General features: G+C 52.4%; 3 protein-coding genes and 1 pseudogene across 18 annotated transcripts in view, besides 7 other annotated features; 1 reads left to right on the top strand and 3 right to left on the bottom strand.

The window, feature by feature from the left end:
• Positions 1-27,360, bottom strand: part of ATP5MF-PTCD1 (ATP5MF-PTCD1 readthrough) — a 49,429-nt gene extending 22,069 nt beyond the window's left edge. The window contains exons 1-2 of the mRNA NM_001198879.2: positions 27,322-27,360; positions 21,279-21,386 (exon numbers count right to left, since the gene is read on the bottom strand). Of these exons, the coding sequence (NP_001185808.1) occupies positions 21,279-21,386; positions 27,322-27,334 (121 nt within the window). The 5' untranslated portion in view covers positions 27,335-27,360. The remainder of the gene's footprint in view (positions 1-21,278; positions 21,387-27,321) is intronic.
• Positions 131-430: a silencer, noted in NCBI's record as "silent region_18410". NCBI's record gives its function as "represses an Ori minimal core promoter by ATAC-STARR-seq in GM12878 lymphoblastoid cells {active_cell/tissue: GM12878}" and the evidence as "EXISTENCE:reporter gene assay evidence [ECO:0000049][PMID:35858748]".
• Positions 136-18,566, top strand: CPSF4 (cleavage and polyadenylation specific factor 4). Of its 13 annotated transcripts, none has more exons than XM_011515755.4 (8): positions 136-378; positions 5,982-6,032; positions 9,314-9,466; positions 11,469-11,564; positions 11,895-11,988; positions 13,546-13,633; positions 15,159-15,329; positions 17,625-18,566. In XM_011515755.4, exons 1-8 carry the CDS (start codon positions 276-278, stop codon positions 17,691-17,693), a joined length of 825 nt encoding a protein of 274 aa, XP_011514057.1. In that variant the 5' UTR covers positions 136-275; the 3' UTR covers positions 17,694-18,566. The 13 variants fall into 13 exon arrangements, with proteins under 13 accessions (XP_011514057.1, XP_011514058.1, XP_011514059.1 ...); XM_011515756.4 differs by having other exon boundaries at positions 15,234-15,329; XM_011515757.3 differs by having other exon boundaries at positions 15,237-15,329.
• LOC100131859 (SAP domain containing ribonucleoprotein pseudogene) lies at positions 3,528-4,702 on the bottom strand (annotated as a pseudogene).
• Positions 13,240-13,800: an enhancer, noted in NCBI's record as "H3K4me1 hESC enhancer chr7:99049670-99050230 (GRCh37/hg19 assembly coordinates)". NCBI's record gives its function as "activates a minimal SCP1, AML or CMV promoter by ChIP-STARR-seq in naive H9 embryonic stem cells {active_cell/tissue: H9 hESC(naive)}" and the evidence as "EXISTENCE:reporter gene assay evidence [ECO:0000049][PMID:30033119]".
• Positions 16,915-17,717: an enhancer, noted in NCBI's record as "H3K4me1 hESC enhancer chr7:99053345-99054147 (GRCh37/hg19 assembly coordinates)". NCBI's record gives its function as "activates a minimal SCP1, AML or CMV promoter by ChIP-STARR-seq in naive H9 embryonic stem cells {active_cell/tissue: H9 hESC(naive)}" and the evidence as "EXISTENCE:reporter gene assay evidence [ECO:0000049][PMID:30033119]".
• ATP5MF (ATP synthase membrane subunit f) lies at positions 19,388-27,360 on the bottom strand. Of its 4 annotated transcripts, none has more exons than NM_001003713.4 (4): positions 27,322-27,360; positions 21,279-21,386; positions 20,340-20,456; positions 19,388-19,548 (listed from the first exon to the last, which is right to left on the bottom strand). In NM_001003713.4, exons 1-4 carry the CDS (start codon positions 27,332-27,334, stop codon positions 19,520-19,522), a joined length of 267 nt encoding a protein of 88 aa, NP_001003713.1. In that variant the 5' UTR covers positions 27,335-27,360; the 3' UTR covers positions 19,388-19,519. The 4 variants fall into 4 exon arrangements, with proteins under 4 accessions (NP_001003713.1, NP_004880.1, NP_001034267.1 ...); NM_004889.5 differs by having other exon boundaries at positions 27,304-27,360; NM_001039178.4 differs by lacking the exon at positions 20,340-20,456.
• Positions 22,518-23,018: an enhancer, noted in NCBI's record as "H3K4me1 hESC enhancer chr7:99058948-99059448 (GRCh37/hg19 assembly coordinates)". NCBI's record gives its function as "activates a minimal SCP1, AML or CMV promoter by ChIP-STARR-seq in primed H9 embryonic stem cells {active_cell/tissue: H9 hESC(primed)}" and the evidence as "EXISTENCE:reporter gene assay evidence [ECO:0000049][PMID:30033119]".
• Positions 26,529-27,146: an enhancer, noted in NCBI's record as "NANOG-H3K27ac-H3K4me1 hESC enhancer chr7:99062959-99063576 (GRCh37/hg19 assembly coordinates)". NCBI's record gives its function as "activates a minimal SCP1, AML or CMV promoter by ChIP-STARR-seq in primed H9 embryonic stem cells {active_cell/tissue: H9 hESC(primed)}" and the evidence as "EXISTENCE:reporter gene assay evidence [ECO:0000049][PMID:30033119]".
• Positions 27,147-27,762: an enhancer, noted in NCBI's record as "NANOG-H3K27ac-H3K4me1 hESC enhancer chr7:99063577-99064192 (GRCh37/hg19 assembly coordinates)". NCBI's record gives its function as "activates a minimal SCP1, AML or CMV promoter by ChIP-STARR-seq in naive H9 embryonic stem cells {active_cell/tissue: H9 hESC(naive)}" and the evidence as "EXISTENCE:reporter gene assay evidence [ECO:0000049][PMID:30033119]".
• Positions 27,429-27,548: an enhancer, noted in NCBI's record as "active region_26316". NCBI's record gives its function as "activates an Ori minimal core promoter by ATAC-STARR-seq in GM12878 lymphoblastoid cells {active_cell/tissue: GM12878}" and the evidence as "EXISTENCE:reporter gene assay evidence [ECO:0000049][PMID:35858748]".

A 27,950-nucleotide genomic window follows, 5' to 3' on the forward strand; every position in this document is an offset into this window, starting at 1 on the left:
ACTCACGCGGCTGGTTTCAGGTTTCTGGCGAGGCCGGTGTTCGGCTGGCGGCTAGCTGGGACTAGCGGAACGGCGGAGTCTCGATTGGCAGTGCCTGGACAGGCGCAAGGGCCGGCGCGGGCTCCGGGCGCTCCCGGCATCCCTCGGGCGGCGGCGGCGGCGGCGGCGAGGCGAAGCGAAGGAGGAGTGTGTGCGGCGGGGCCGGCGGCGGGTAAAGGCGAGAAGGCTGCAGGAGACCGAGGGGGAGCCGGGCCGGTGGGGCCGCCGCCGCCGCCATGCAGGAAATCATCGCCAGCGTGGACCACATCAAGTTTGACTTGGAGATCGCGGTGGAGCAGCAGCTGGGGGCGCAGCCGCTGCCCTTCCCCGGCATGGACAGTGAGCGCGGGGCCCGGGCGGGAGGGCAAGAGCGACTCGAACCCGGGACCCGCTCCTCTGTGATCCCGGGACTCCCTCGCCTCGGTCCTGAGACCTCCCCCGGCTTCCTCTGGATCCTGGGACCCCTCCCCTTTGGTCGCAGGACTCCTCCCTCTAGGTCTTGAGAGTCCCTCCCACCTCCTCCGGGTCCTGGGATCCTCCCCTTTAGTTACCGAACTCCCTCATCTGTGGTCCCGAGACTCTTCCCACTCCATCCTGAGACCTCCTCTTCTGGATCCCGGGACGCTCCCCTTGGTTTCAGGACTCCTGACTCCCAGGCCCCCATTTCCACCGTCTGGGGACTCCTTTTACCCTCACTCGGACTCAGGAGTTCACTGCCTCGGATCTTTGGCCCTCTGCGGCTGTTCAAAGGTAATCTGTAGGAGGGTAGACCTTGTCTGTTCGCTTAATTCTTGAATAAGGGTGGGTTATCCTGGATTGGAACTCTCCCTCAACACTCTCCCAACTGCAGGAGAGTACTAGGATATCACACCCGCTACGTTGAGCGTCTCTTCTTGATTTCATCAAAACTAGGCGGTTGGAGGAGATGTGCTGAGGGAAGGACCACCTTTCTGTAGGAGACCCCAGCTAGACTCTCAAACTCCCTTCTAGGACTCACTCTCCTGGGAGCTCATCCCTAGTTTTTGGCCCGTCCCTACTTTTTTCTGGACCCCAACTCTGAGTTATTCATCACACCCAGCAGCTGGTGTGGACCCTTGGCCTGAACTCCCTTCACTGCTCCCCTTCATATGGTGGCTCCTGGCTTCCCACCTCCTACTCGGTGGGATATCTTGTACTTTAAAAGAAACCAGTAGTTTTCTTTGTGTCTTCTTTCCTATCTGGACATACTTGAAATCTAATGCTATAACCTTAAAGTTTGGGGGCTTGTGGAAGTCACTGAGTTCAATCCACAGATGGGGAAACTGAGACCCAAGCGGGGGAAGGGACTTGCTGACAATCACTCAGTGCATAGCAGAGGCGGGCAAGCTCTCCAGTGTTGTGTGCTGTCGCCCACAACTACCAGCGGGGTCTCCCACCGCTCCCAGCAGCCTCACTCCCCTCAGGCGGTCACACCTTCTCATGCACATGTGACCTCTGAGTCTGTCCCTTTATGTGTTTTTGTTGTTGTTGTTTGTTTGCTTTTGAGACAGGGGCCCCTCTGTCGCCCAGGCTGGGTGCAGTGACGCAATCATGGCTCAATGCAGCCTCGACTTCCCAGGCTCCAGCAATCCTCCCACCTCAGTCTCCCAAGTAGCTGGGACCACAGGCATGCACCAACACGCCTGGCAAATTTTTTTGTGTGTATTTCTTGGTAGAGACACTATTTCATCATGTTTCCCAGGGTTGGTCTTGAACTCCTGGGCTCAAGTGATCCTTTTACCTCGGCCTTCGGAAGTACTGGGATTATAGGCATGAGCCACTGCACCTGGCATATATATATATATATATATTTTTTTTTTTTTTTTTTTCCTGCCTGTCCCACAACTTTACATGGTGATAGTTCTGTACAAGATAGTTTCATTGGAAATTAATTAAGTCTTCAAGAAGACAAGATAGTGCTTATAAGGAGACATCATCAGACCACCCTATTTGACACAGGCACAAACACCATCACCACTGTACACTCCCTAAAAAGCAGCTGCTCAAATTCACACACACACACCCCCTCTTACCTACCCCTCGACTCTTGTGATCATCCCTGCACATGTGGCCTTTTCCTGTCTTTTTTTTTTTTTTTTTTTTGAGACAGAGTTTTGCTTTTGTCACCCAGGCTGGAGTGCAATGGTGCGATCTCGGCTCACTGCAACCTCCACCTCCCAGGTTCAAGCAGTTCTGCTGCCTTGGCCTCCTGAGTAGCTGGGATTATAGGCGCCCACCACCACGCCCAACTAATTTTTGTATTTTTAGTAGAGATGAGGTTTCACCATGTTGGCCAGGCTGGTCTTGAACTCCTGACCTTAAATGATCCACCTGCCTCGGCCTCCCAAAGTGCTGGGATTACGGGCATAAGCCACTGTGCCCAGCCGGCCTTTTCCTGTCTTGATGGCACTAGCTTGAGACCATGGAACCACCCACGCAGGGCAGCTCTTTTCCTCCCACCCTTCTGCCATCTGACACATCCACAAGCCTGTGAGGGGAGGTACAGTGGCGAGGGGCCCACATACCTGTTCCTGAGGCCCGGGACACACCTAGCCATGGGTGTTGCTCCAGCCAGGGCTTCAGAGTCGGTAGGCACCCTCCACACTCGCTGCTTGTCCATATCCTGTTCAGTTAAAGCCTAGTGAGGCCACAGCCCTTCCTCACCCATCCCTCCTCTTCATCCCCATCTGAGTTTTGGGAAGAACTGTCACTTTGCCCATAAGGCATACTCATCCTATCCACATGAGACTCAGTTCCCAGAACTGTGTATTTCTGAGCAGAAGCAACTCTAACCTCTAAAGAGAGAGACCAGAAGTACTTTCAGAATTTTTTTTTTCTTTTTTTTTGAGACAGAGTCTTGCTCTGTTACCCAGGCTGGAGCACAGTGACGCGATCTTGGCTCACTGCAACCTCTGCCTCTGGGTTCAAGTGATTCTCCTGCCTCAGCCTCCCAGGTAGCTGGGATTACAGGCACGTGCCACCATGTCTGACTAATTTTTGCATTTTTAGTAGAGATGGGGTTTCACCATATTGGCCAGGCTGGTCTTGAACTCCTGATGTCAAGTGATCCACCCGCCTCAGCCTCCCAAAGTGCTAGGATTACAGACGTGAGTCACCGCACCTGGCCACTTTCAGACTTTTTGAGATGCAAATGGAGTGACCTCCCTGTGACAGCCATAAGTTCTATAACCTCAGCTGTGTCCTAGCAAAATCTGCTTGCTTCCAAGAAGCCAAGGAATCTTTTGTGATTTAGCAAGGGGAGGCATGTTAAGTGGGCTTCAGAGATGCTGTCATTGGTTTTTCAGCAATTCTAAAATGGTTACTTGTAGAGGAAACTGTTTCTGATGCCAAGGTCAGTTTAGTCTGGCAGCTGGGGCTGGTGAATTCCTGGACTCATCAGAACAGCTGGTCCCTGGAGCCCACTGAATTCCAGCACACTCCGACTGTGGGAATGAAAGGCTGTGCTTTTTTTTTCTTTTCTTTTCTTTTTTATTAACAAGCAACATAATCGGCCGGGCGTTGTGGCTCACACCTGTAATCCCAGCACTTTGGGAGGCCGAGGCGGGCGGATCACGAGGTCAGGAGATCGAGACCATCCTGGCTAACACGGTGAAACCCCGTCTCTACTAAAAATACAAAAAATTAGCTGGGCAAGGTGGCGGGTGCCTGTAGTCCCAGCTACTCGGGAGGCTGAGGCAGGAGAATGGTGTGAACCCCGGTGGGGCAGAGCCTGCAGTGAGCCGAGATCACACCACTGCACTCCAGCCTGGGCAACAGCGAGACTCCGTCTCAAAAAAAAAAAAAAAAAAAACAAAAAACAAGCAATATAATCAAAAACAAAAACACAACAACCTTAAAGCTGAAACAGCAATAAGTCAAACTGCCGCGGCAGTTCACAGTTTTACCTGGGGTACCTGCTCCCTCATTGCAAGGCAAGACTGCATTTAGTATATATGTGACCAAGAAGAATGAGAGAAGTGGAAAACACTGGAGAACAGAAAGTATCAAGAACCTTTCATCAGGCAATGCCAAAGCGCTCTGCTCTTTTCCTCTTCTTTGCCTCTGTATCCTCTGTGGTTCCAGTTCCAGCTGAACTTGTGACAATCCCAAATCGCTCCTTCCTCTTTTTCAGTTTCTTATCATCTTCAGACTTTCTGGAAATTGAAGAGACATTCAAACCAAATCTTTGAGCTCTTTCCTTCGGCTTATCCAAGTTAACCATAGGTGTGTTCAGATGACAGACTTTTGTTGGAACTGAAGAAATCCCAAACCTAGCTGCCTGAGCAGCTTTCTTACTCTCCAAGCTCACAGGTACACTGAATTGTTCGGCCCTCTTCTGCATTCTCTCAGCCTGTGGTATTTCAGATGTAATTTTCACCACTTTCTTCTCTGCTGCCACATCAACAGTTTTTTTCAGGGGGTTCTTCCTATTTGACAAGGGGTTTTTTTCTTCTTCTGTTTCATCTCCTAGTACATCTTCATTTGCCTCCTCTTCAGCATGTTCTTCAAGATATGCCTGGAGTCTGTGGATAAGATCTTGCTTTATTCCCTTGGTCTCCAAACCACAAGAAGACATTCTTGCTTTAGTTTAGCAAGCTTCAGCTTATGGAGCTCCACCATCTCAGTTACCATCTTGTTACCCCTCCGGGTGTGCTCTTTTAATAATTGTATGTGGGGTGGGGTGCGGTGGCTCAATCCTAGCACTTTGGGAAGCCAAGGCAGGCGGATCACGAGGTCAGGAGTTCGAGACCAGCCTGTAATAATTGTATGTGGGCCAGGTGTGGTGGCTCACGTCTATAATCCCAGCACTTTGGGAGGCCAAGGTAGGTGGATCACTTGAAGCCAGTAGTTTGGGACCAGCCTGGCCAACATGGCAAAACCCTATCTCTACTAAAAATACAAAAAAATTGGGCAGGCATGATGGTACACCTATAATTCCAGCTACTCAGGAAGCTGAGGCAGGAGAATCTCTTGAACCAAGGAGGCAGAGGTTACGGTGAGCCAAGATCGCACCACCACACTCTAGCCTGGGCGACAGAGCGAGACTCTGTCTCAAAAAAATAGAAAAAAAAAATTGTGTACGGATGTTGCATATTAAAAGCAGTCCTCTGTTTCTGCACTTAATGTGCTTCCCCCTGGACTAGCATCTCAGAGGCACTGCCTCTTCCTTGAAGCCTGACCCTCCTCAGAGGCCCTGATTGTCTGTACGTCTGTGAGATCATTCCTTCCCTCTGCCTCATGTTAAGGTATCTGTGAATTCGCCCTCCTGGAGGAAGGTGTGAGCTAGGGGCCGTTAATTTATTCCTGTGTGTCAGGCACTTTGGCTCAACGCCTGTAATCCCAGCACTTTGGGAGGCCGAGGTGGGTGGATCACCTGAAGTCAAGAGTTCGAGACCAGCCTGGCCAACATGGTGAAACCCCGTCTCTACTAAAAATACAAAAATTAGCCAAGCGTGGTGGCAGGCACCTGTAATCCCAGCTACTTGGGAGGCTGAGGCAAGAGAATTGCTTGAACCTGGGAGGCAGAGATTGCAGTGAGCCAAGATCGCGTCATTGCACTCCAGCCCAGGCAACTAGAGCGAAACCCCATCTCAAAAAAAAAAAAATTATTTCTGTGATCTCGTACTCCAGCCTTCCTTTCCCCACCCACTCTTAACTCCTTGAAAGGATCTTATATACAGGAGGCTCTCAAAGCACTGGGTAATGACTGTTCTCAATGTATGTGTCTCATTTTGTAGGGCGTGACTAACTTAAGCAGCTTCTTCCTTGCTTGGTTGGGCTTTGCAAATTTTTGCTACTTTATTTCCTGTACCCTGAACCCTTGGTGGGTCAGAGGTCAGAAGGGTTCCCTCCCACTGTCTTCAGACATTGTCAATAGCAAATTGCACCTCTTTGATTCCTCTCCTTTTCTCTCCTTTCTACAGAGTCGGGCGCTGCTGTCTGTGAATTCTTTTTGAAAGCTGCCTGCGGCAAAGGTAAGAAACTCCGGGCTCCCTGATGTGCCTCCGGAGGCGCCCTCCCACCTCCTTCTCCCCGGCAGACTTGGAGGCCGCCAGGTCTCTGGCTTACATTGCTTTCTACAGACTAACGATCTCTGTAGATAAAACTGGTTTGGACAGGCTAGGACCCTGATGGGGTGTTCCACCTGAAACCTAAACGCAGGACTGAACCTGGCTCTAAGGCTGCCTTATCACTTCGCATTCCCCGTGGCCACAAGCTGACCTGTGACATGGAGAGAAGCCCCCAGCATTGAGACACTCAGGAACTTTCTCAATGTCACAGAGTTAATAAGCGGCAGAGCCCAGTGTCTGAACCCAGGTCTTTCTCATTCCATAGTTTCCACTGGCTCATGGTTTTCTGTGGCCTCCCATCGAAACACCCCATGATAACCCATCTTGCGGGGTCTTGTTCTCGATAACCAGCCCTCAACACAGACTACACAAAACTACTGAGGTGCGAGAATCCCTTGAACCAGGGAGTCAGAGGTTGCAGTGAGCCGAGATCGTGCCATTGCACTCCAGCCTGGCAACAGAGCAAGACTCTATCTCAAAAAAAAAAAAAATCTTGCTTTATTTGCTCGTCTCCAAACCACGAGCAAGACATTCATTCTTACTTTAGTTCAGCAAGCTTCAGCTTATGGAGCTCCACTGTCTTGGTCGCCATCTTGTTACCCCTCTGGCTGTGCTCTTTTAATAATTGTATGTGGGCCGGGCTAATCCATCAGAAGTATCACTAGGGGTCAGGCGTGGTGGCTTACGCCTGTAATCCCAGCACTTTGGGAGGCCGAGGTGGATGGATCACCTGAGGTCAGGAGTTTGAGACCAGCCTGGCCAACATGGTGAAACATCGTCTCTACTAAAAATTCAAAAATTAGCTGGGCATGGTGACGCCCGTCTGTAATCCCAGCTACTGGGGAGGCTGAGGCAGGAGAATCACTTGAACCTGTTAGGCAGAGGTTGTAGTGAGCCAAGATCGCACCACTGCACTCCAGCCTAGGTAACAGAGTGAGACTCTGTCTTAACAAAACAAAACAAAAAAAAAAGAAAGAAAGAAGTATCACTAGGTACAACCTAAACTTTCCATGGTCTGGGCATTTTTCTCCCTGTAGGAAAATTTATTTAGGAGACTTAAATATTAATCAGAAGCTTGAAAAAGAGAGCAGAGAATCAGAGCAAAGGGCTGGTTTTAATGAATGGTTTTGGTGAGTTTTGCTTCTATAACGTAGTCATTTACCACTGAGGTAGGAGACTTTCTGGCAGATCAGCCAGGCCACCTTCACACTGTCCAGTCAGAACGTCATTACCTCCACTGAGTTTCTGGTCTCATTCCCATGTCTTTGCTCAGTAATTCTGCCCTTCTGACCAGCCACCTTCTGTTAGCACAGCCATCCCTAACACAGGGCATTCTGTCTCTCTGTTGACTAATACAGTAGCCACTAGTCACATGTGGCAGTTCAAATTTAAGTAAAATCAAATCACATTTAAAACAAAATTCTCAGACACACTAGTCATATTTCAAGTGCTCAGTAGTCACATGGGGCTAGCAGCTGCCATATTGGACAGCAGAAGTGTACAGCGGCCTCATTCTGGTCGGACCTCCATGGTGGTCTTGCCAGGCCACCCGTTAGAAGTCTCACACATCCCCAGAGGCTGGCTCTGTCCCATCAGGTCCTGTCCCAGAAGGGACACGTCCCTCCATGTGTATACATCACATTTCCTCAATTCTGAAATTGGTCTTTCCTTTTTTTTTTTTTTTAAAAAAGAGGCAGCATCTTACTCTGTCACCCAGGCTGGAGTGCAGTGGCACAGTCATAGCTGACTGCAAGCTTGACCTCCTGGGCCCAAGTGATCCTCCCACCTCAGCCTCCTCAGTAGCCAGGACTACAGGTGTACACCACCATACCCAGCTTTTTTTTTTTTTTTTTTTTTTTTTTTTTTTTTTTTTAACGGAGTTTTGCTCTTGTTGCCCAGGCTGGAGTGCAGTGGTGTCATCTTGGTTCACTGCAACTTCTGCCTCCTGGGTTCAAGCAATTCTCCTGCCTCAGCCTCCTGAGTAGCTGGGATTACAGGTGCACACCACCACGCCCAGCTAATTTTTTGTATTTTTAGTAGAGACAGGGTTTCATTATGTTGGCCAGGCTGGTCTCGAACTCCTGACCTCAGGTGATGCACCTGCCTTGGCCTCCCAAACTACTGCGATTGCAGGTGTGAGCCACTGTGCCTGGTCCCCAAGCTTGCTTGGCTGGCTTACTTACTTACTTACTTATTTATTTATGTAGTGAAGACAAGATCTCAGGCTGATCTCGAACTTCTTGGCTCAAGTGATTCTCCTGTCTTGGCCTTCCAAAGTGCTAGGATCATAGATTTGAGCTCCTACACCCGGCCAAGTTCCTTTCTTTTTTTTTTTCTTTTTTTTTTTTTTGAGACAGAGTTTTGTTCTTGTCATCCAGGCTGGAGTGCAATGGCGTGATCTCCGGTCACTGCAACCTCCGCCTCCTGGGTTCAAGCGATTCTCCAGCCTCAGCCTCCCAAGTAGCTGGGATTACAGGCACCCACCCGCAAGCCGGGCTAATTTTTTTTGTACTTTTAGTAGAGATGGGGTTTCACCATGTCAGCCAGGCTGGTCTCGAACTCCTGACCTCGTGATCTACCCACCTCAGCCTCCCAGCACCTCCCCCCTTTTAATTCCTCCATCTTACAGTAATATCTGTGAGATCATGAGTAACTTTTTTTTTTTTTTTTTTGAAAAGGTGTCTTGCTCTGTTGCCCAGGCTGGTGTGCAGTGGCGCGATCTCTGCTCACTGCAAGCTCCGCCTCCCGGGTTCACGCTGTTGTCCTGCCTCAGCCTCCCGAGTAGCTGGGACTATAGGCGCCAGCCACCATGCGCGGCTAATTTTTTGTATTTTTAGAAGAGACAGGATTTCACCGTGACAGCCAGGATGGTCTCCGTGCCAGCCAGGATGGTCTCGATCTCCTGACCTTGTGATCCGCCCACCTCGGCCTTCCAAAGTGCTGGGATTACCAGCGTGATCCACTGCGCCCGGCCATGAGTAACTATTAAAATGTAAAATGTCTGTCAGTGTAGTACCTCAAATCATGTTGCCTTCTGTGAGGGGGACCTCTGCCCCTTTCCAGGACGTGATGCCTTCAGGTGGCTCCAGGAGTTAGGAAGTGAAGGTACCTCAGCTTCTTCAGGCCGTGTCCCCCAGGCTCAGGGTGGCCTCTCTGCTGACACCCTGTCCCTATCTTGCCGGCAGGGGGCATGTGTCCGTTTCGCCACATCAGTGGTGAGAAGACAGTTGTGTGCAAACACTGGCTGCGTGGCCTATGCAAGAAAGGGGACCAGTGTGAGTTCCTGCATGAGTATGACATGACCAAGATGCCCGAGTGCTACTTCTACTCCAAGTTCGGTAAGGCGCCTGGAGCCCTGGAGGCTCTGCTGAGAACCAGGGTGCAGAGGGGTCCGCTGGCTGCTCAGTGCCCACACTGTCTCTGCCTGCTTTTCCCATCTTTCTATTCTCAGAGGAGAACTCTGGCAGAACCTGCCAGCCTCAGCCAGCTTTTAGGGGACAGTGTGGCTATTTTCTGCTCATCTCTTTTTTTTTTTTTTTTTTTTTAAAGACATAGGGTCTCGCTATGTTTCACATACTGGTCTTGAACTCCTGGGCTCGAGTGATCTGCCTGCCTCAGCCTCCCAAAGTGCTGGGATTACAGGCGTGAGCCACCACGCCTGGCCCCGCGCATCACTTTGGAGTGCTTCAGTGTTTGGAGCTCTTTCAATCACTCGGATTTGAGGCTAACGAGGGTGACCCGGAAGCAGCGAGTTGTGCAGCTGGCTGCATTATGTCCGTGGTTGGTTTCTGTCCACGTCCACCTTCTCCCTGAAACCCACTTCTCCCTCCAGCGTGGGCATTGCCTCTCAGGCCCGAGCTGGTTCCTTCTCTCCAGGAGCCATGATCCTGGTGACATCTCAGCCATCCTAAATAGCCCTTCAAAATAACAGCCTCAGATGTGTCTTCTGGTAGCAACAAACTTGCCTTGAGCCCTGCTTAGAGAATGCGTGGCCTCAGCTGTCCTGAGTGGCCTGCGTGGAGAAGCGGGAGCCCGGGTGGAGTCAGTGGGGCTGGCACGGAGTCTGGCAGAGATGTGCTCCCTGCTGGAAGGAGTCCCCAGGGTCCCCGCTCAGGTCTGCACTTCCAGGTTTCCCGGGAAGCAGCTCTGTGGGTCAGCGTGAGGCTGGCTCTGGTCCTGTGCAGGGAGCCCGGCAGGAGGCTGGAATCCTGCAGGGAGCCAGGGAGTGCAGGGTATGCTTCATGCTTTCAAAGCACTGCTGTTGGAGGAGACATTAATTATTTCAGCATCCCATCAGGCGTGGCCTGCTGGCTTATCAATGAGAGCTGTGGCTTGTTTTGTGGAGGTGGCATAAGCTGAGAAGAAATAGGACCCAAGCTTCCCAGCTCCCCAAGTGCTGTCCCTGTCATTGTGCAATGTAGCATGTTCCCCCCGATGCCTTGCCCATAGCAGCACTGGGGCAGCACTGGGATGGGGCAGTGGCCTCCCATCTGTCCCCAGAGGCAGCAGCTGGCTCTCCTGGGCAGGCTCTTAAGGCACCGCTATACAAGTGGCCTGAGGGTCGCTCCTTCCTTGCTGACAGCCCTGGTGCAGGACGCACTGTCTGCAGCTTCTGTCACCTGCACCACAGACATTGGGTTGAGGGCCCCCTTTCCAGGCACTGGAGGGACAATGGTGAAGAGGTCCTTGCCCTGTGAAGCCTTCACTCTTGTGGTCCAGGGAAAGAGGTAGCTGATAGGCCATGAGACGAACAGAGAAGAAATTGCTTGTGACAAGTGCTTTGAAGGAAGGAAACCGTGACCAGAACCTTCTCTAGGCTGAGTGGTCAAGGATGAGGGGATTCCTGAGCTGGAAGCGGAAGACTAAGAAGGGGCTGGTCCTGGTACAGGGGGACCCATGTGGCTGGGGGGTGGCAGAGGCTGAGCCTGCGGAGGGGCCTGGGGAAGGAGTTTGCATTTCCTCTGGATTTTGAGCACAGTTGTAAACATGGATTGGAGAAGGTGAGCCTGGAAGCGGGCAACTACTCAGGAAGGCGGTTCTTGGTGCTGGTGGTCCCTGGGGTCCGCTGCTTTGGAGAGGGCCAGGTCCACAAGTGCTTCCCCTACCCTTGTCCCAGCTCTTAGATGTGAAGAGCCAATCAGAATGGAACTTCCTGGTCTCAATGGGTGCATTTCCATCACAGCTCCGCTGCACAGGAAGCTGGGGCTCAGAAACACTCTTCCCTGGCTCTCAGGGCTCGTCAGGCCAAAACTGGACACCAGAACCTCTTTTCCTTGGATGAAGCCAAGGTGGGCCTGGCCCCGGCCTTCCCAGTGGTCTCACGTCTGAGTTTCCCTGCAGGGGAGTGCAGCAACAAGGAATGTCCCTTCCTGCACATCGACCCCGAGTCCAAGATCAAGGACTGTCCTTGGTATGACCGTGGCTTCTGCAAGCACGGTAGGTGCCAGGGTGGGCTGGGCCCCGGGCAAGAAGCCAGTCCTCCCTTCTCTGCCCACGACCCTGGAGGCTGCCAGCTGGTCTACCTGTCCCAGCAAAACCTGACATTCTGCAGCTAGCGGCTTTCTCACACTCCTCATCTCCCTTGCCTCTCCCAAGAATGCTGGGTGGGTGGTGGTCCACCCGCTTTTTTGATAAGGAGGCCAGTGTTGGGAGGTGAGGTCCCTGCCCCGTCTCCCATGAATGGGGGACAGCCAGCATTTGAAACCATGCTCCAGCTCTCTAACTGGTAGAGGGGACATCTAAGTGACCGGACACTTGGCTCTGCAGGTCCCCTCTGCAGGCACCGGCACACACGGAGAGTCATCTGTGTGAATTACCTCGTGGGATTCTGCCCGGAGGGGCCCTCGTGTAAATTCATGCAGTGAGTAGCCAGCTGCTCCGCCCTCTACCCCAGCTCCCGGCCCAGGCCCTGCTGCCCTCCGTATCTTCCCTGGGCCAACTGGGCCTTGGTCACTGGGTGATGTCAGTACCAGGGCCAAGGGTGGGGGCAGGAGATGGGGAAGTAATCCCTGCTTATGGCCACCAATGCTTCCTGAGCCCGCAGGTGGCTCTGCCTAGACCAGGAGCTGATCTTTCTTGGGTCATGGGCCATCTGGTAATGTAATGGAAGCTGTGGGATACAGACAAACATGTAGCCTTGCATATCATTTAGGGAATTTGGGGACTTCCAGTTAAGAACCTGTGCCCTAAAGGAAAGAATTTCAGAGCCTCCCATGTGGAGGCTCAGGAAACCCTGAGCTTGGGGTTTCACATAGAATAAGTAGTCGTCTAACAGTGAGGGTAGGAGAGAACGCACCCATTTCACACAGCAGCACACTGAGGCACAGGGCTCAGTCCCTGGCCAAGGGCACATGGTAGCAGGTGGTGGCACCTGGTCAAAGGCAAGTCTGGGCTGGGTGTGGTGGCTCACGCCTGTAATCCCATAACTTTGGGAGGCAGAGGAAGGCGGATCACGAGGTCAGGAGTTCGAGACTAGCCTGGCCAATATGGTGAAACCCCGTCTCTACTAAAAATACAAAAATTAGCCAGGTGTAGCGGCGCGTGCCTGTAGTCCCAGCTACTTGGGAGGCTGAGGCAAAAGAATCACTTGAACCCAGGAGGTGGAAGTTGCAGTGAGCCAACATCGTGCCACTGCACTCCAGCCTGGGTGACAGAGCAAGACTCCATCTCTAAATAAATAAAATAAATAAATAGCAAGTCTGTGAGCCTCCGAAGACGGGTTTTAATTCTTGCTCTGTGGGGTTAGCACCCCTCTTGTGGCTCCATTTTCTTGTCCTTGGAGCCCAGTGCCCATCTGTCACTTTGGTTGTGGACCTGGGCTTCTGCCTGGGGTGGCACTGGGGCCACAGACAAGCCTCCCTTCCTCCCGGCTGCCTCGCCCACACTGCTGAACCTACAGCAGGATAACAGTCTCCAGGTCTGTGGGAACCCTGGTCCCTGCTTCTCACTGCAGGGAAGTGGCCGGTGCTGTCACTGGGTCTCACTCCCTGAATGAGAGTGCAGGCACCTGCAGGTGGCTCAGGGGCAGACCGTCACCAAGTGATGGGAGGAGGGGCTGACGCCAGAGTAAGACCCTGCGGGGAGGGGGGCTTCCCTGTGTACAGCTCCTGTGGCGCAGCAGGCACGCACCAGCACAGCCTTTGTCATTTCCGAGAAGCACTGGCCATGAGTCTCCCAGCTCGGTGTAGGCAGGGTTGGGTCTGAGCCCAGGCAAGTCAGTTCTGTTCTCCCCGCCACTCCTGTGGCCTCCCAGGAGCAGAGCTGAGTGCCAGCCACCACCCCATCCATGCAGCTTGTGTCAGTCACTTTGTGCTGGGGCAGCTGAGTGTGATTTTCCTAGGGCTGGAATTTAAGAGCATGGCCTGGCTTCTCTTCTCATCCCCTGACCCCACTCCTTCTCTTGTTCTCATCCCCTCTGGCTGCTGGTGACCAGCCCTCGATTTGAACTGCCCATGGGAACCACCGAGCAGCCCCCACTGCCGCAGCAGACACAGCCTCCAGCAAAGGTACCGTGCCTGGCCTTCCTCGGTAGGAAGGAAGTGCCTTTTCTACAGCGAGAACCTCAGTGTCCCCCAGGGGTGTGGTCTGCCTTAGACCCCGCTGGACAACTTGGGAGAGGAGGGGAGTCTCCCAAGTTCCCGAAGAAAAGTCAGGAGCAAAGCCGTGTATATCTCCCTCGAGAGACGGAGGGCCTCTTGCCCTAGAACCTCAGCAAGGCCAAGCGCAGCAGCAGACACAGTCCAGGCGCCGTGCAACTGGCCACCCGTTGTGAGATGGGGCTAACCTGGTTCAGCAGCGTCTGCCCCTGGGGCTGGCATGGAGGGCGGCCTGGGCACCGTGTCTGCTGCTCTTGCTCCTGGGTCAGACCCTTTATTTTGCAAATAGGGAAACCGAGACTACCAGAGGGAGGGACCTGCCTGAGGTGACACCACTGGGCAGGAGCAGGTGTGGCAGCAGAACTGACCACTCTGGCCAGCACCGCCCCTGCTCCTGTGGAGTGGAGGTTGGGAGGAGGCGCGAGAACAGGCCCGGCTGGCTCCAGTTTTCTAGATGAGGGGCCCCACAGCCAAGCAGCTGGTCCGTCCCCTCAAGCACAAGGAGAGGGGGAAATGCTGTAGACACATGGGGATCTGCAGCAGCCTCTCAATGCCAAGGGCACCCTGAGTTTGGTTATGGGAGTCGGGAGTTGAGCCAAGAGGAAGGGCTGGCGTCAAGGCAGGGCGGGCATCAGGCAGGGTTCCCAACAGGCCCATCAAGCCCAACCACCTCCTGAGCCCAATGCCTCACCTCCTACCCTGCTGGGCTCTGGACTGGCTGCCAAAGCCCCACCAGCCCCGCTCAGTGCTAGAGGCTGAACAGCCAGGAGAGGATGCGGAGGATGTAGCTGCGTGGAGGCGCCAATCACATTGAACTCTTGATGGGGAAAGCCGGGAATTCCAGGTGTAGGTGCAGCCGTGCCAACCTGGGGGTTTTCTAGCTCGGGTTCTGCACTTACGGGCCAGAGCCAGGAGCCCACCTGGTGGGGAGGAGGCCCTGCTGTGGAATCCCTACCCCAGGAGCCCTGGCCCTCCTCCTGGTGGGGCTCCCTAGAGGAGGGTCCTCTCAGCCCGAGAACGCAGCTCAGTGTGTCAGGCTCCAACTGTTTTTCTGTGACTTGCTCGCCGTGTAGGCTGCTAAACATCTGGCTGAACCAAGCGTTCATCCTGACCTGAAGCCAGAACCTCAGAAACCAAAGTAAGGCCTGATCATGCCCTCGCCCCACTGCCCCAGAGACCTCCTCTTGTCTCTTTGATGTTTTGTTTTCTATTTTATTTTTCGTTTTTGTGTGTCTGCATGGTGTTTTTCGGGCAGTGGCTTCTGCCATCATCACCACATGTTTCTCTGCTGCCCACTGTCCTGAGGTGGGCCGTCGTGGAAGCCCTGCTTCCTGCCGTTTGCGGGACGAGTCCCGCCCTCTTTTTTCCTGTCCCCATCGGTAGTCTGCGTGCACGTGTTTTCCACAGTAAAACCGTGTTGTGTAACTCTTTCCAGCAAAGTAACAATCCGCCATTACAAAGGTCGTCCTCCTTGATCCAGTTAACGAGTCAGAACTCTTCTCCCAATCAGCAGAGAACCCCGCAGGTCATCGGGGTCATGCAGAGTCAAAACAGCAGCGCGGGCAACCGGGGACCCCGGCCACTGGAGCAGGTCACCTGTTACAAGGTGAGTCCCTGGGCTGGGGGACAGGGTGGGGTCTTCCCTTACCGTCAGTGGCCATTCCCTCATGCCCCATGTGTTTGGTGAAATGAGAAAAATGAAAACATTCATTTTTGCTGATTGTAAGCATAAAGTTACAGTCTAGTTACCATCCACTGTGGTGGGCTAGAGACTGTCCTATTTCCTACCACACTGCACTGAGGCACGGTAAAGGATGGTGAGAACGCCTGCCTAGTGAATGGACGGGGCCTGCAGGCAGGTGAGGGAAGCCCCCAAGAGGCCGGGAACAAAATAGAAACACTGATCCAGGGAAGGGTGAGCCCTTGGAGCCGCTGGCTGTCCTGGGGGCATCCTTGGATCCTGCAGGGCACACCCGAGAAAACAGGACACTGGGTTACAGCACCCCTGTCCCCATCCCCTCCCCCAGTACATAAAATGGGACTCAGGAAGGGTGAGCTTCAAGAAACCTCCTCGAAAACTGTCCTGTTCACTCCTGGCTCTGTGGGAAGCGGGGAAAGGGGAGGAAAATCTCTTGATAGTTTGACGTTATTAATGGGCCCTTATGTGAGTCTAGGCCTGTATTCATGTCCTTGGTTAAGGCTGGAAAGTTACAAACTAAGTTTTCTAATCTAAAATCGCCCCAGGATTGGTGTGTCCCTGGCACGTGGCAGGAGTAACCCCCAGTACTCTTTGAAGAGTATGTTCTCAACCCAAGGCGCACACAATTCCTACAGCTGGAGTTCTGAAGAATGAGTCCAGATTAAAAATCACAAAACAGGCTGGGTGTGGTGGTGCACGCCTGTAGTCCCAGCTACTGGGGAGGCTTAGATGGGAGGATTGCTTGGGCCCAGGAGGTCAAGCCTGCAGTGAGCTATGACTGCACCACTGCACTCCAGCCTGGGCAACAGACTGAGACTCTTTGTCTCCAAAAAAATAAAAGAGCATGGAAGTGGGGCACTGTGTAGAGCAGACTTAGCTGTTATCTTGCCACCCTCCAGGCCTGTTAAGCGGGGCCACTTCTGTGCAGCAAGCGCCCTTAAGTCCTGGAGCCTTAGAAAGGTAGGGCTGACCGCCCCTGTCCACAGCCTGTCACCCCATTAATGTCAGAGACACTTCATGTAAGTCCTGGATTCCCCAGAGTCAGCTGTGGGGTCCGACAGACATGCCAGATGCCGTGAGCAGGGTGTGTGGTCCCTCCCCCAGCCATCATGTTAGCCCTACAGCCCATCGGCAGCCTCTCCATACAGAGTCACACCTGCAGATCAGACAAAGTTGAAAACACAGGGACAGCTGGGTGCGGTGGCTCACGCCTGTAATCCCAGCACTTTGGGAGGCCGAGGGGAGCAGGTCACAAGGTCAGGAGTTCGAGACCATCCTGGCCAACATAGAAGAAAGAAAACAGGAATTGCAGAGCCAGGGAATAGAGCTGGCAAGAGTGTTGGGTGCCAACTGGGCAGAGCCCCTCAGGGCAGCAGGGACTCAGGGGTGGGTGTCAGTACAGAGTCAGTGCCCCCAGCTGCCTCCTGACCCTTTTGTTCAGTGCTTGAGGCTGCCGTTTTAGGAGTCATAGAGTAAAGAGAAGCTATGGAAGGGCCTGGATAATCAGGACTGGGATGAGGCAGGGTCAGGGCTGGATTTGTCATGTGGCTCTGCAGGCTCCCCTTACCCAAGTCTAAGCATCGTCCCATCTCTCTGATCCTGTAATCAAAACCTGTCCCCAAGGTAGCTTAGGTGTGTCACAGCCACGAGGGAAAACGTTGGGTACAGCCCACCCTCTGTCCCCAGCAGTGGCTCCCCAAGGGAGGGGAGGCTGGGACACTTCTGATGCTGTTCCCTCCCATCTCCTGCCAGGGAACCCCAGACCTTGGCTCAGAGGTAAGTGACTGGCCTGTGGTGCAGAAGGGCTTGGTCCCCAGACGGGGTGGCGGAGCTCAGGTGCCACGGGCTTCTCTTTGTCCTGCTACCCACTTGGGAGTCCCTCCCTGGGCAGGCCATGTGTCCAGGTGGGAGAGTTGTGGGCCTGAAAGAGCAGGTCGCTAGCAGGTCGCCTTCTGGCGGCCTTGTTCTCCCTTGCATCTGCGGAGTTGCTGGCTAGTTTCTGCACCACTGCACTTTCCATCCTGAGCTCCCTCACCCTCTAATTTGAAAGAAACTCTGTACCACTGAGAATTTCAGAGTCATGTCCCGACTGGGGACTTGGTGGATGATTTGGGATTTGGTGGGCACTCCCTTAGTTGAAAACTGCATTTGAACAGTGTTGTTGTCTGTCTCTCCTCTTCCCCCACTTCCTGCTGTTCCCAGTGTGGCGAGAAAGGACACTACGCCAACAGATGCACCAAAGGGCACTTGGCCTTTCTCAGTGGACAGTGACAGCAGCTGGAGCCAGCTCCGAGCAGCCCGGGGGCCCCGCTGTTGGGAGTGTGCATTTAACTGTTTCATGCGCTTGTTGGCGCGACTGTGGCTCGAGCTGGCCCGCAGACACGTGGGTTTCATCACTCTGAGGGGCCACGTCTGTTAGTTTCCTATCATTTTGCCTTAGTATTTTTTGAAAAAGGGACATGTGTCCTGTGGGTCCCTGCAGTCGACATCATGTTTGGCTGGGCATCGATGCCTCCTTTCTGGGACTCCCGGCACAACTCCCCTCATCCAGGGAGGGAGGCAGCTGCTGGGGAGGGGCTTGGCTAGGTAGTTCTGTGTGGCGGTGGTCATTCCCCTCATTAAACACCAGTTCTTGGTGACGCCAGGGGCTGGTAGGTCATTCAAAGCTGTGGCCAGCTCACGCCTGCTTCCTCCCTCCCTGCCCTGCTGAATCCTAAAGCTGTGCCTATATCTGTGATTTGAATGAGGGAGCCCTTTGGGGCAAATTCAGGTGCCCCCATTGCCTCAGGCTGGCCCTGGTCCCAGGTGGCAGCGGTTGAGGAGGGGTACAGGGCTCTCAAGCCTGAGGTTTTCTTCTCTGGGCTTAATTTTCTCTTGGGGTACGTGCCTGACAGTGTTTAAGGTGTCCGTTGAACTGGAGTTGCAGACTTTTAAATAGATGACCCCTTCAGATCATCTGTGCCTACCTCCTGCCCATCAGGCGTCTACACTGTCACTCAGACACCTGTGGCATGTGGAGGAGACTGCCCTGTCCTGAGCCTGGAAAATGTGAAACTGTCTCCTGCAACCTGCTGGGCATGTGGGCCTGGCTGTGTTCAATTGCAAGAACAATTTTTATGAAATGGATTAAAGCTTGTTTTTTAAGCCATGTCTCATTAATTAAGGGTCTCATGCCAACCCTTTTACACTGGCTGCAATCACGGCGTAGCTTTCTTGTCCCTTTCAACAAATGTCAGCCTCACAAAGGGAAGTGCAGCTGCCCAGAAGGCCTGCAAGCAGCTGGTCAAGTCTGGGAGTCTGATCTGTGGAGCCAGCAGGCAGGTCCTCCACCTCAGCTCAGATGTCTGGTGGCACCTATTTCTGGGGCACAGTATCCCACCCCCAATGAGGCTCTGATGAAGAGGAAGCAGGGAGGGGCCGCCATAGCCCCTCACTTTTCCCCATCACCCCCAACCCACTAAGCCTCCTGTTAGAGAAGCCGCCTCAGCCGGAGGGCCACAATCCCTGCAGCCTGGGCGTGAGTGCTGCCTGAGGTCTCTCCAGACAGTGCCGGGTCACCTCACCCTGTAGCCCTTGATGCCCCAGGGTGATGCAGAAACACAGGATGCGGGCCATCCCTGCCTGGAGCCACAGGACAGCCGGGGTGGGATCTGGCGCTCTCAGGTACGCAAGCCTTTGTGTTACACCATAAAGGGCCAGCCAACTAAAGGCCAGAATGTCTGCAAATGCACCTGCCCACAGCACTCATGGCAAGGGACGGACTTCGGCACTGCTGCTTCGGGAAGGTCTGGATGACACCCTGCCCTCCAGGGAGCTGGGACACGACCAGAGTGGTGGTCTGGGAAGTCCACAAAGGCCTTCACCGGTCAACGGCCTGGAAAGACGACCTCCCCCCACCTTGTGCCACAGGAGCCCCTGGAACATGGGATAATGGCTACGGCAGACAGGCAGGCAATCAGCACACGTACCAGTCATGTTTTATTTGGAGGTTAATTCCTATTAGGATATGAAAGGATTCAGCAACGATTGAGATTGTGTTCCTCACGGAGGGGCTCGGGCCAAGGTCGTGGGGTGGGGGGGTGCAGAGTGTGTCCTCTTCAGTGGTATTTGCGGAGCCGCTCGTGCTCTGAAGTCAGGAAGGCAAGATGGTAAGTATCTTAAAAGGTTACAGTGAAGGCACAGCATGGCAGGAAGCAGGCTGAGATCACACAAAGCCTTCCTGAGAATTCCCTTCAGAGATGACCCATGACCCGCCTGCCGGTGTCTCTGCAGAATCAGCAGACCCGGGGGGCACAAAGACACCTCAGGAGCCAACCTGCCACCTGGCCAACCACTTTCTTTCCAGAAGGAACAGAGGGAACACACGCTCAGACAAACAGCCCCAGAGAACCCGTCCTTCAGAGGCAGGACCGCCCTGGTGCCACAGAATGGGAGTGAGGTGGGGGTAGGGGGTGTACACTACACTGTCAGAAACAGCCTAGTCAGAGGCTGCCACCGACACCTCCCGCCAATCTCCCACCAGACAAGCTCCTCTCAAGCCTCAGAGCCGGAACAGCCATGCTTTTCTGGGGTACCAGATTATCCCACTCAACTCATTTCTCTTTCTGCATTGGCTACTAGGAAAATCGAGCCAAATTTTCACAGTGTGCTGTATTTTAAAGAATGCTTCTAAGTACTCTCTTTACCCTGGCTTCATCTTGATTTTCCTGTGTTCTCTTTGTCACAATTTTCTCATTTCAAACAATATCCCACATACTGTACTCTGATAGGTCCCTCCAATTCTTTTAGGTGGAAACATAAGGAACTTTAACTAAAGGTCCCTCAGCCTCAGAAGAAGGTGGGCTGCTGTATCTAATGAAATCAGTCACCACCACCCTCTCATGGGAACTAAAGGCAAGACGCCGCAGAGGCACTCACTGAGATGCTTGTAGGAAAAGGAGTAGCTAAAGAGCACGTAGCATGCCAGCACCATGGTAATCCCCGAGATGCTCCCCTTCTTCACATTGATGTACTTGTTGTAGTACCGGTAGTAACCTGCAAACGCAAGAGGCGCTCACTGCCCTGCTGGGCTTCACATTTGAGTGAAGTTGAGCACACAGTTGAGTCTGGCTGACATTCAGGGACCTAGTCCTGCTCTGGCTGTTTAAGCCCCTCGCCCTGCATTCACTGGCTGATAAAGATGACAAGCACAAATGCCAGTAAGGTCTCTCATCCCCATAGCCTGAACTATAAGCACATACCAGCTCCTGAACTAGGCCTACCTGGATTCCACCTCTCCCCTTTGGCTGTGAGCTTATAGCCTCCTGAGTAGCTGGGACTACAGGCATGCACCACCACAGCCAGCTAATTTTTCTTGTGTGGTTTTTTTTATAGAGATGGGGTCTCTCCATATTGCCTAGGCTGGTCTAAACTCGGCTCAAGCAATCCTCCAGCCTTGGCCTCCCGAAGTGCCGGGATTACAGGCATAAGCCACCACACCAGGCCAAGATAGGCCATTTCAAATATTTGTCCTGAAGTTCTGGCAGGGAGGAGAGCATCATATTATAGACTAATGCCCACTACGGTTCCAATTCATTTTCCTCTTAAAGAAGTCTTAGGATTTCTCTAAGACAGAGGCAGACATACTGATTCCAAGCAACAGGAAACATGTTCTTGGCTGTAATATCTCAGAGCCAGCCTTTGAAAGGGCCAATCAACCACAGAAGTCCAAGGCCTAGCATCCCTCCCTGTCATCCTCTACATAACTTACTGCTTTCAGACAACAAGGCCTTCATTGCCCAAATTAATTCATGGCAAAAAAGAGATCTGAAGACCCAGAGATTTGCTTTCATTTACAGACATCCACAAGGCTCTGACCTCTTTGAAACGCTCCGAAAATGCCACTAGGACTGAAGTCCCGCATCAAGATCCAGCTTGGCAGCTCCCCCAGTTTGACCTCCAGAAGTTTCTTGTCCTTCACTGGTACTGAAACGGAAGAGTGAGAAAAAATACCCACTGAATAATCTCCCAGTAACACATATGGCATCCTTTCCTGCCACTGCTTCAACTATGCAATAAAGGTGCATAATGCAATTACACAGAGGCTGCACATACACAATATTATGAAGAAATATGTCACATCAAGCCCACTATTTTAAGACTGAGTCTATACAATAGCAGAACTGCTGCAGGGACAGCTTTATTAACCAACAGGACGTCTGAGTAACAGCTTGCTGGGAGTAACTCCAGAAAAGGGTCTCGAAAAAAGCAGTAACGTGGCGGACAGGAAAGATTACTGCAAAGCTAACATTTACTTGACATTATTAGCTTATTTAATCTTCACAACAAGCACTTCATGTCTTTACCTTAAAGGAGGGGAGGGGGGATAGACTCAGAGAGGTTGGGCCACGTGACCAAAGTCACACACACAACGTGGGGTCAGGACTGGCCCTCCTATGTCCCTGAAGCCAATATGAGGGTGCCCTGTCCAACCCTGGGGATGTGTCGCTGGAGAACGTACAAGAGGGGATGTGGAAGGAGAGCGGTGTGACGGTGCCAAGTGTCTCACTCAGACTTGACGCACTTGTTTACTGGGGAAGGGCTTCAAACAGCACCTGGGTTCACACAGCTGGCAGACTCACCAGATGGGCCAGCCCGAGCAAGTATAATGAAAGAAACCCAAGGAATTTCCACCTCCAGCATCCTGGGACCACGGACACCAACAATTTCCAGAGATAAAAATAAGAGATAACACATTCCGAGAAGTCAAGTGACGAAAAACCACTCCAAATGACTGAACGGCCCCAGATCGTATTCCAATGGGAGTCTGAGAACAAGGAATCAGAAGGGCTCCTGGCTGAGGCTGTACTGTCCTCACATTTGGGCCCAGGAGGAGACTATGGAGGGCCAGGGAGTGGGTGGGCCTGTGGGCGTCAAGGAGATGCATTTAAGAAAGGAATCGTCTCCCCTGTTCTCCCTGCAAAGATTTATTTATTTATTTCTGAGAGACAGGGTCTCACTCCATTACCCAGGCTGGAGTGCACTGGTTATTCACAGGTGTGGTCACAGCTCACTGCAGCCTCACTGAGCCTCCTGGACTCAAGTGATCCTCCTGCCTCAACCTCCTGAACAGCTGGGACTACAGGTGTGTGCCACCACACCCAGCTAATGATAAGTTTTAAAAAGCTTTTAGCAGATGTCCTATTGAGGGCAAAGAGTCTAGGACCACGGTGCCTTCTCAAAGATAACCACAAGAGGAGCCAGATTAAATAATCCCAAGGTTTCTTCTCCATTTTGAGATCAAAGGAAAGACTAAGGCTCTGTCAGGACCAGCCTCAAGAGTCTGCTGAGGGAGGCCAGGGCACAGTAGTTCACACTATAATCCCAGCACTTTGGGAGGTCGAGGCAGGCAGATCACTTGAGGTCAGGAGTTTGAGACCAGCCTGGCCAACATGGTGAAACTGCACCATGAGATCACGCCACTGCACCTGCCCAGGCTGGAGTGCAGTGGCATGATCTCGGCTCACTGCAACCTCCACCTCCTGGTTCTAGCGATTCTCCTGCCTCAGCCTCCTGAGTAGCTGGGACTACAGGCATGCGCCACGACACCCAGCTAATTTTTGTATTTTTAGTAGAGACAGGGTTTCACCATGTTGGCCAGGCTGGTCTCGAACTCCTGACCTCAGGCGATCTGCCCACCTCGGCCCCCCAAAGTGCTGGGATTACAGGCATGAGCCACCGCACCAGGCCAGAAAACTCACTTCCTGATCCAGTGAAGCCATTTTTTCACATTCACATAAACTATGCAGACATATTCTGCATCTCATTACCATGTTCAGGGGCTGGCATGGAGCCTGGCACATCACAGGAGAAAAAAGGCAACAATTTACAACTTGTTTTTCTTCCTAGTTCTATCTCTGTATTATGAAGACAAGGGTGTTTCCTTAAAACCAACACATCAGGGGCCGGGCACGGTGGCTCACGCCTGTAATCCCAGCACTTTGGGAAGCTGAGGCGGGAAGATCCTGAGGTCAGGAAATCGAGACCATCCTGGCTAACATGGTGAAACCCCATCACTACTAAAAAAAAAAAAAAAAAAAAAAAAAAAAAATTAGCCAGGTGTGGTGGCGGGCGCCTGTAGTCCTAGCTACTAGGGAGGCTGAGGCAGGAGAATGGCGTGAACCTGGGAGGCGGAGCTTGCAGTGAGCTGAGATTGTGCCACTACACTCCAGCCTGGGTGACAGAGCAAGAATCCGTGTCAAAAACAAACAAAAACCTAACACATTTGGCAGGGCACGGTGGCTCACGCCTGTAATCCCAGCACTGTGGGAGGCCAAGGCAGGCAGATCACGAGGTCAGGAGTTCAAGACCAGCCTGGCCAACATAGTGAAACCTCATCTCTACTAAAAATACAAAAATTAGCTGGGCATGGTGGCGTGTGCCTGTAGTCCCCGCTACTCGGGAGGCTGAGACAGGAGAATCGCTTAAACCTGGGAGGTAGAGGTTGCAGTGAGCCAAGATCGTGCCACTGCAAGGGACTATCCAGTTCATCCAAGATGCATCTATACTTATTCCACGAATTTCTCTTTCACTGGAAGGCAAAGGAAGGCCTCAGTCCTTGGTTGCCCTATTGGAACTCCCACCCCAACTCTACACACACCCGCTCCTCTGCAGCACTGAAGCTTCCATCTGCAATCACTGGGTCACATAAAGAGACCCAGTAGAGTTCAGAGACAGAGCAGACCCTTGGGTCTAGTGCCATTCTGGGTTTAATGCCATTTTGTAGGTGTGTGCCCTTGGGCAAGGTACTACTCCTTCTCAGTTTCCTCCTTTGTGAAATCCTTGGTACTTGGCCCTAGGTACTATGTAAATGAGAACTATTACCACCTTTCTGCCTGGTTATGAGCTACCTGAAGGTGCGAATATCCCCACCACTTCTTGGTACACGACAGATTCTCAGTAATGGTTGTAGAACCACAGATCCTCGAGAGGAAACATACTGTTCATTACTATGAAGCCACATGGAAATAGCAAGTCTCTCCTGAGTGCTAAATCCAACCTGGGGGTTGTCCAGAGAATAAAGATTTTTGGATTTGCAGGCCACATAAGGTCTTCATAGCATAGTCTATTTTATTTTTAAACAATCTTTTTAAAAACAGAAAATGACCCAATGCAGTGGCTCACGCCAGTAATCCCAACACTTTGGCCGAGATGGGAGGACTGCTTGAGGCCAGGAGTTTGAGACCCCATCTCTATAATAAATAAAATAAAAACAAAAAACCATTCTAGGCCCTGTACAGTGGCTCACGTCTGTAATCCCAGCACTCTGGGAGGCCAAGGCAGGAGGATCACGAGCTCAGGAGTCTGAGACCAGCCTGACCAAAATGGCGAAACCCCATCTCTACTAAAAATACAAAAATTAGCCGGGTGTGGTGGCGGGCACCTGCAATTCCAGCTACTTGGGAGGCTGAGGCAGGAGAATCACTTGAACCTGGGAGGTGGAGGTTGCACTGAGCTGAGATCGTGCTATTGCACTGCAGCCTGGGCGACAAAAGCAAGACTCCATCTCAAAAAATAAATAAATAAATAAAAATAAAATATAAAAACAAAAAAACCATTCTGAGCTCATGGCCAGACAAAAACAGGCCACACGAAATCCAACTCACTGGCCATAGTTTGCCAACCGCGATCTTATCTACTGCTGCTAATTCATATTTCCCTCACTTTATGTGCTCATGAAATACTGTCTTTGTCCTCTGGTGACAGACACTACCTAAAAGATCATCAATACCTAAGAGACATGGACTCCAATTTCTTCACCGGGGGTGATGCTGAATAGGCCAGGCATGTGACATGACCCTGCCTAAAGGTCACAAAGTAAAGGCTGGGATGACCAGCTCACACCGACTGAGTACTCACTGTGGGCCACGCAGCGTTCCAAGTGTCTTTCACATGCTAAATCGATTGATCCTTAGTTCAGAGCTCTTGACCACAGCCCTATGCTTAAACAAAATGCCCCAGTGTTCACTTTTCACAGGTTGTCTCCTTAACACAACTACCGTGTACGACGAATGCTATTATGCCCATTTTACTGAGGGGAAAACAGCTTCCCTCTCATCTATTCTGAACCCCTCTTCATTTCTCTAGGCTGAGATTAAGAATACAGAGGCCGGAGGCCGGGCGCAGTGGCTCACACCTGTAATCCCAGCACTTTGGGAGGCTGAGGTGGGCAGATCACAAGGTCAGGAGATCGAGACCATCCTGGCTAACACAGTGAAACCCTGTCTCTACTAAAAATACAAAAAATTAGCTGGGCGGGGTGGCGGGCGCCTGTAGTCCCAGCTACTCAGGAGGCTGAGGCAGGAGAATGGCGTGAACCCGGGAGGCAGAGCTTGCAGTGAGCTGAGATCGCGCCACTGCACTCCAGCCTGGGCGACAGAGCGAGACTCCATCTCAAAAAAACAAACCAGAGGTCAGGCGCAGTGGCTCACGCTGGTAATCTCAACACTTTGGGAGGTCGAAGCAGGTGACTCACTTGAGGTCAAGAGTTTGAGACCAGCCTGGTCAACGTGGCGAAACCCATCTCTACTAAAAATACAAAAAAAAATTAGCCGGGCGTAGGTACTGGTGTGTGCCTGTAATCCCAGATACTTGGGAGGCTGAGGCAGCAGAATCATTTGAACCTGGGAGGCAGAGGTTGCAGAGACGAGATCAGCTACTGCACTCTAGCCTGGGCGACAGCGTGAGACTCCATGTCAAAAAAAAAGAATACAGAAACGCAGTGGCTCACACCTGTAGTCCCAGCACTTTGGGAGGCCGAGGTACATGGATCACCTGAGGTCAGGGGTTCAAGACTAGCCTGGCCAACGTGGTGAAAGCCCGTCTCTACTAAAAATACAAAAATTAGCTGGGCATGGTGGCCTGCGCCTGTAATCCCAGCTACTCGGAGGCTGAGGCTGGAGAATCGCTTGAACCCAGGAGGCAAAGGTTACAGTGAGCCGAGATCACACCATTGCACTCCACCCTGGGCGACAAGAGCGAAACGCCATCTCAAAAAAAAAATGATAAAAAAAAACCAGAAACTGAGCTAAGACACACATGTGTTAATCAAAACTCTGCCACTATCAGGCTGTGTGACCTCAGAGAGGCCACACCACATCCCGAACAGTTATTTCCCTCATCTGTAAAATGGAATCGACTTTCCCAACAAGGACTCTCTGACAAGGCTACTATGGAGCATCTAGGGCTAACTATTCAAAAACAAACAAACAAAAATCATCAGTGTGCACAGCGGGATGAATGTAGCGATTTACACATGGGTGTCTCGGAAAAGCCTGCTAGTCATAAGGCCGTCCTAGAGAATAAAGTTCATTTACCACGAATCCTCAGGTTTGAATACCAGCTCAGCCCTCGCACGAGTTGTGACCTTGAACAGGTCACCTCGCCTCTCTGATTCAACATATATGCATCGAACCTTACATGGTATCAGGTACAGTCCTAGTCCTGAGCTCCTCCTGGAGCTTCATCTGAGCTTAAGCCTTGGGAAAAAAGGGCAAAAGCTGCGCCTAACATTCAAGTGCAAAGCAACTGGGTCGCAGCGGGAGAGGGAAGCGGCTATTTCTTAGCGGAAAGAGGAACAGTGGCCCAAGGCGGCGCATTCCCAGGCCCAGAAGCGCGTGCCCCAGATGCCTTCACCCTCCACGCCTAACCCGGTTGGCGCAGGCCCTGGGCAGCAGGAAGGCGCGCCTGGGCAGGCGGAGCGGGGTCTGGCGCGCCTCAAGTGAGGTCGTGGCGAAGTGCCTGAGCAAAGGGCAGGCAGCTCCGCAGCTTCCTTCTCTCCCAGTGTGGCTCTGGACCCTGGACCCTGGCTCCTGCTTCCACCACGGAGTCCAAACAGCCTTACCTGGGGCCGGACACTCACCAACTGACGCCATTTTGGAGTCCTGGTGTCCGCTGTGCCGGACCGCGCGAGGGCTGCTGGGTAGGGAATGCACGCCCCATCCAGGGGCGTAGAGCAGAGGCTCACGGGAAGCAGGTCACAACTGCGAACACCCTGGAACTACTAGAAGGCCATGAAGCGAAGGGCGAGGTGCCTGGACAGCAAAAATCCGAGGGTCCTGCAGTTAGAGAGAGGGGCGCCTCAGCCTGGGCTCTCTACCTTAAAAGGTGGGAAGAGGCCGCGCTGGGACTACAAGCGTGCACCAGCACAGCAAGCTAATTTTTGTATTTTTAGTAGAGACAGGGTTTCACCATGTTGGCCAGGCTGGCCTTGAACTCCTTTCCTCACGTGATCCCCCCGCCTCGGCCTCCCAAAGTTCTGGGGTTACCGGCGTGAGCCACCGCGCCCAGTCTATTTTTATTTTTATTTTTTACTTTTCAGACGAGCATTTACTTTTCAGACAGTGGCTTGATCACGGCTGACTGCAGCCTTGAACTCCCGGAGTCAAGCGATCCACCCATCTCAGCCTCCCAAGTAGCTAGGACTACAGGCTCACATCACCACTTCCAGCTTTTTTTTTTTTTTTTTTTTTTTTTTTTTTTTTTTGGTGG

The sequence above is a fragment of the Homo sapiens genome, chromosome 7 (genome assembly GCF_000001405.40).
Source record: "Homo sapiens chromosome 7, GRCh38.p14 Primary Assembly".
In the NCBI taxonomy this organism is placed as follows: domain Eukaryota; kingdom Metazoa; phylum Chordata; class Mammalia; order Primates; family Hominidae; genus Homo; species Homo sapiens.

Bases quoted from the DNA above. Each gene is read 5' to 3' on its own strand.
- CPSF4 (XM_011515755.4), top strand. From the start codon at position 276: ATGCAGGAAATCATCGCCAGCGTGGACCACATCAAGTTTGACTTGGAG. The intron at 379-5,981 runs GTGAGCGCGGGG...TCCTTTCTACAG, and splicing joins GCCCTTCCCCGGCATGGACA to AGTCGGGCGCTGCTGTCTGT. The intron at 11,565-11,894 runs GTAGGTGCCAGG...TTGGCTCTGCAG, and splicing joins CCGTGGCTTCTGCAAGCACG to GTCCCCTCTGCAGGCACCGG.
- ATP5MF (NM_004889.5), bottom strand. From the start codon at position 27,334: ATGGCGTCAGTTGGTGAGTGTCCGGCCCCAG. The intron at 21,387-27,303 runs GTAAGGCTGTTT...CTTCCGTTTCAG, and splicing joins TGGTGAGTGTCCGGCCCCAG to TACCAGTGAAGGACAAGAAA. The intron at 19,549-20,339 runs GTGAGTGCCTCT...TCCTGACTTCAG, and splicing joins CTTTTCCTACAAGCATCTCA to AGCACGAGCGGCTCCGCAAA.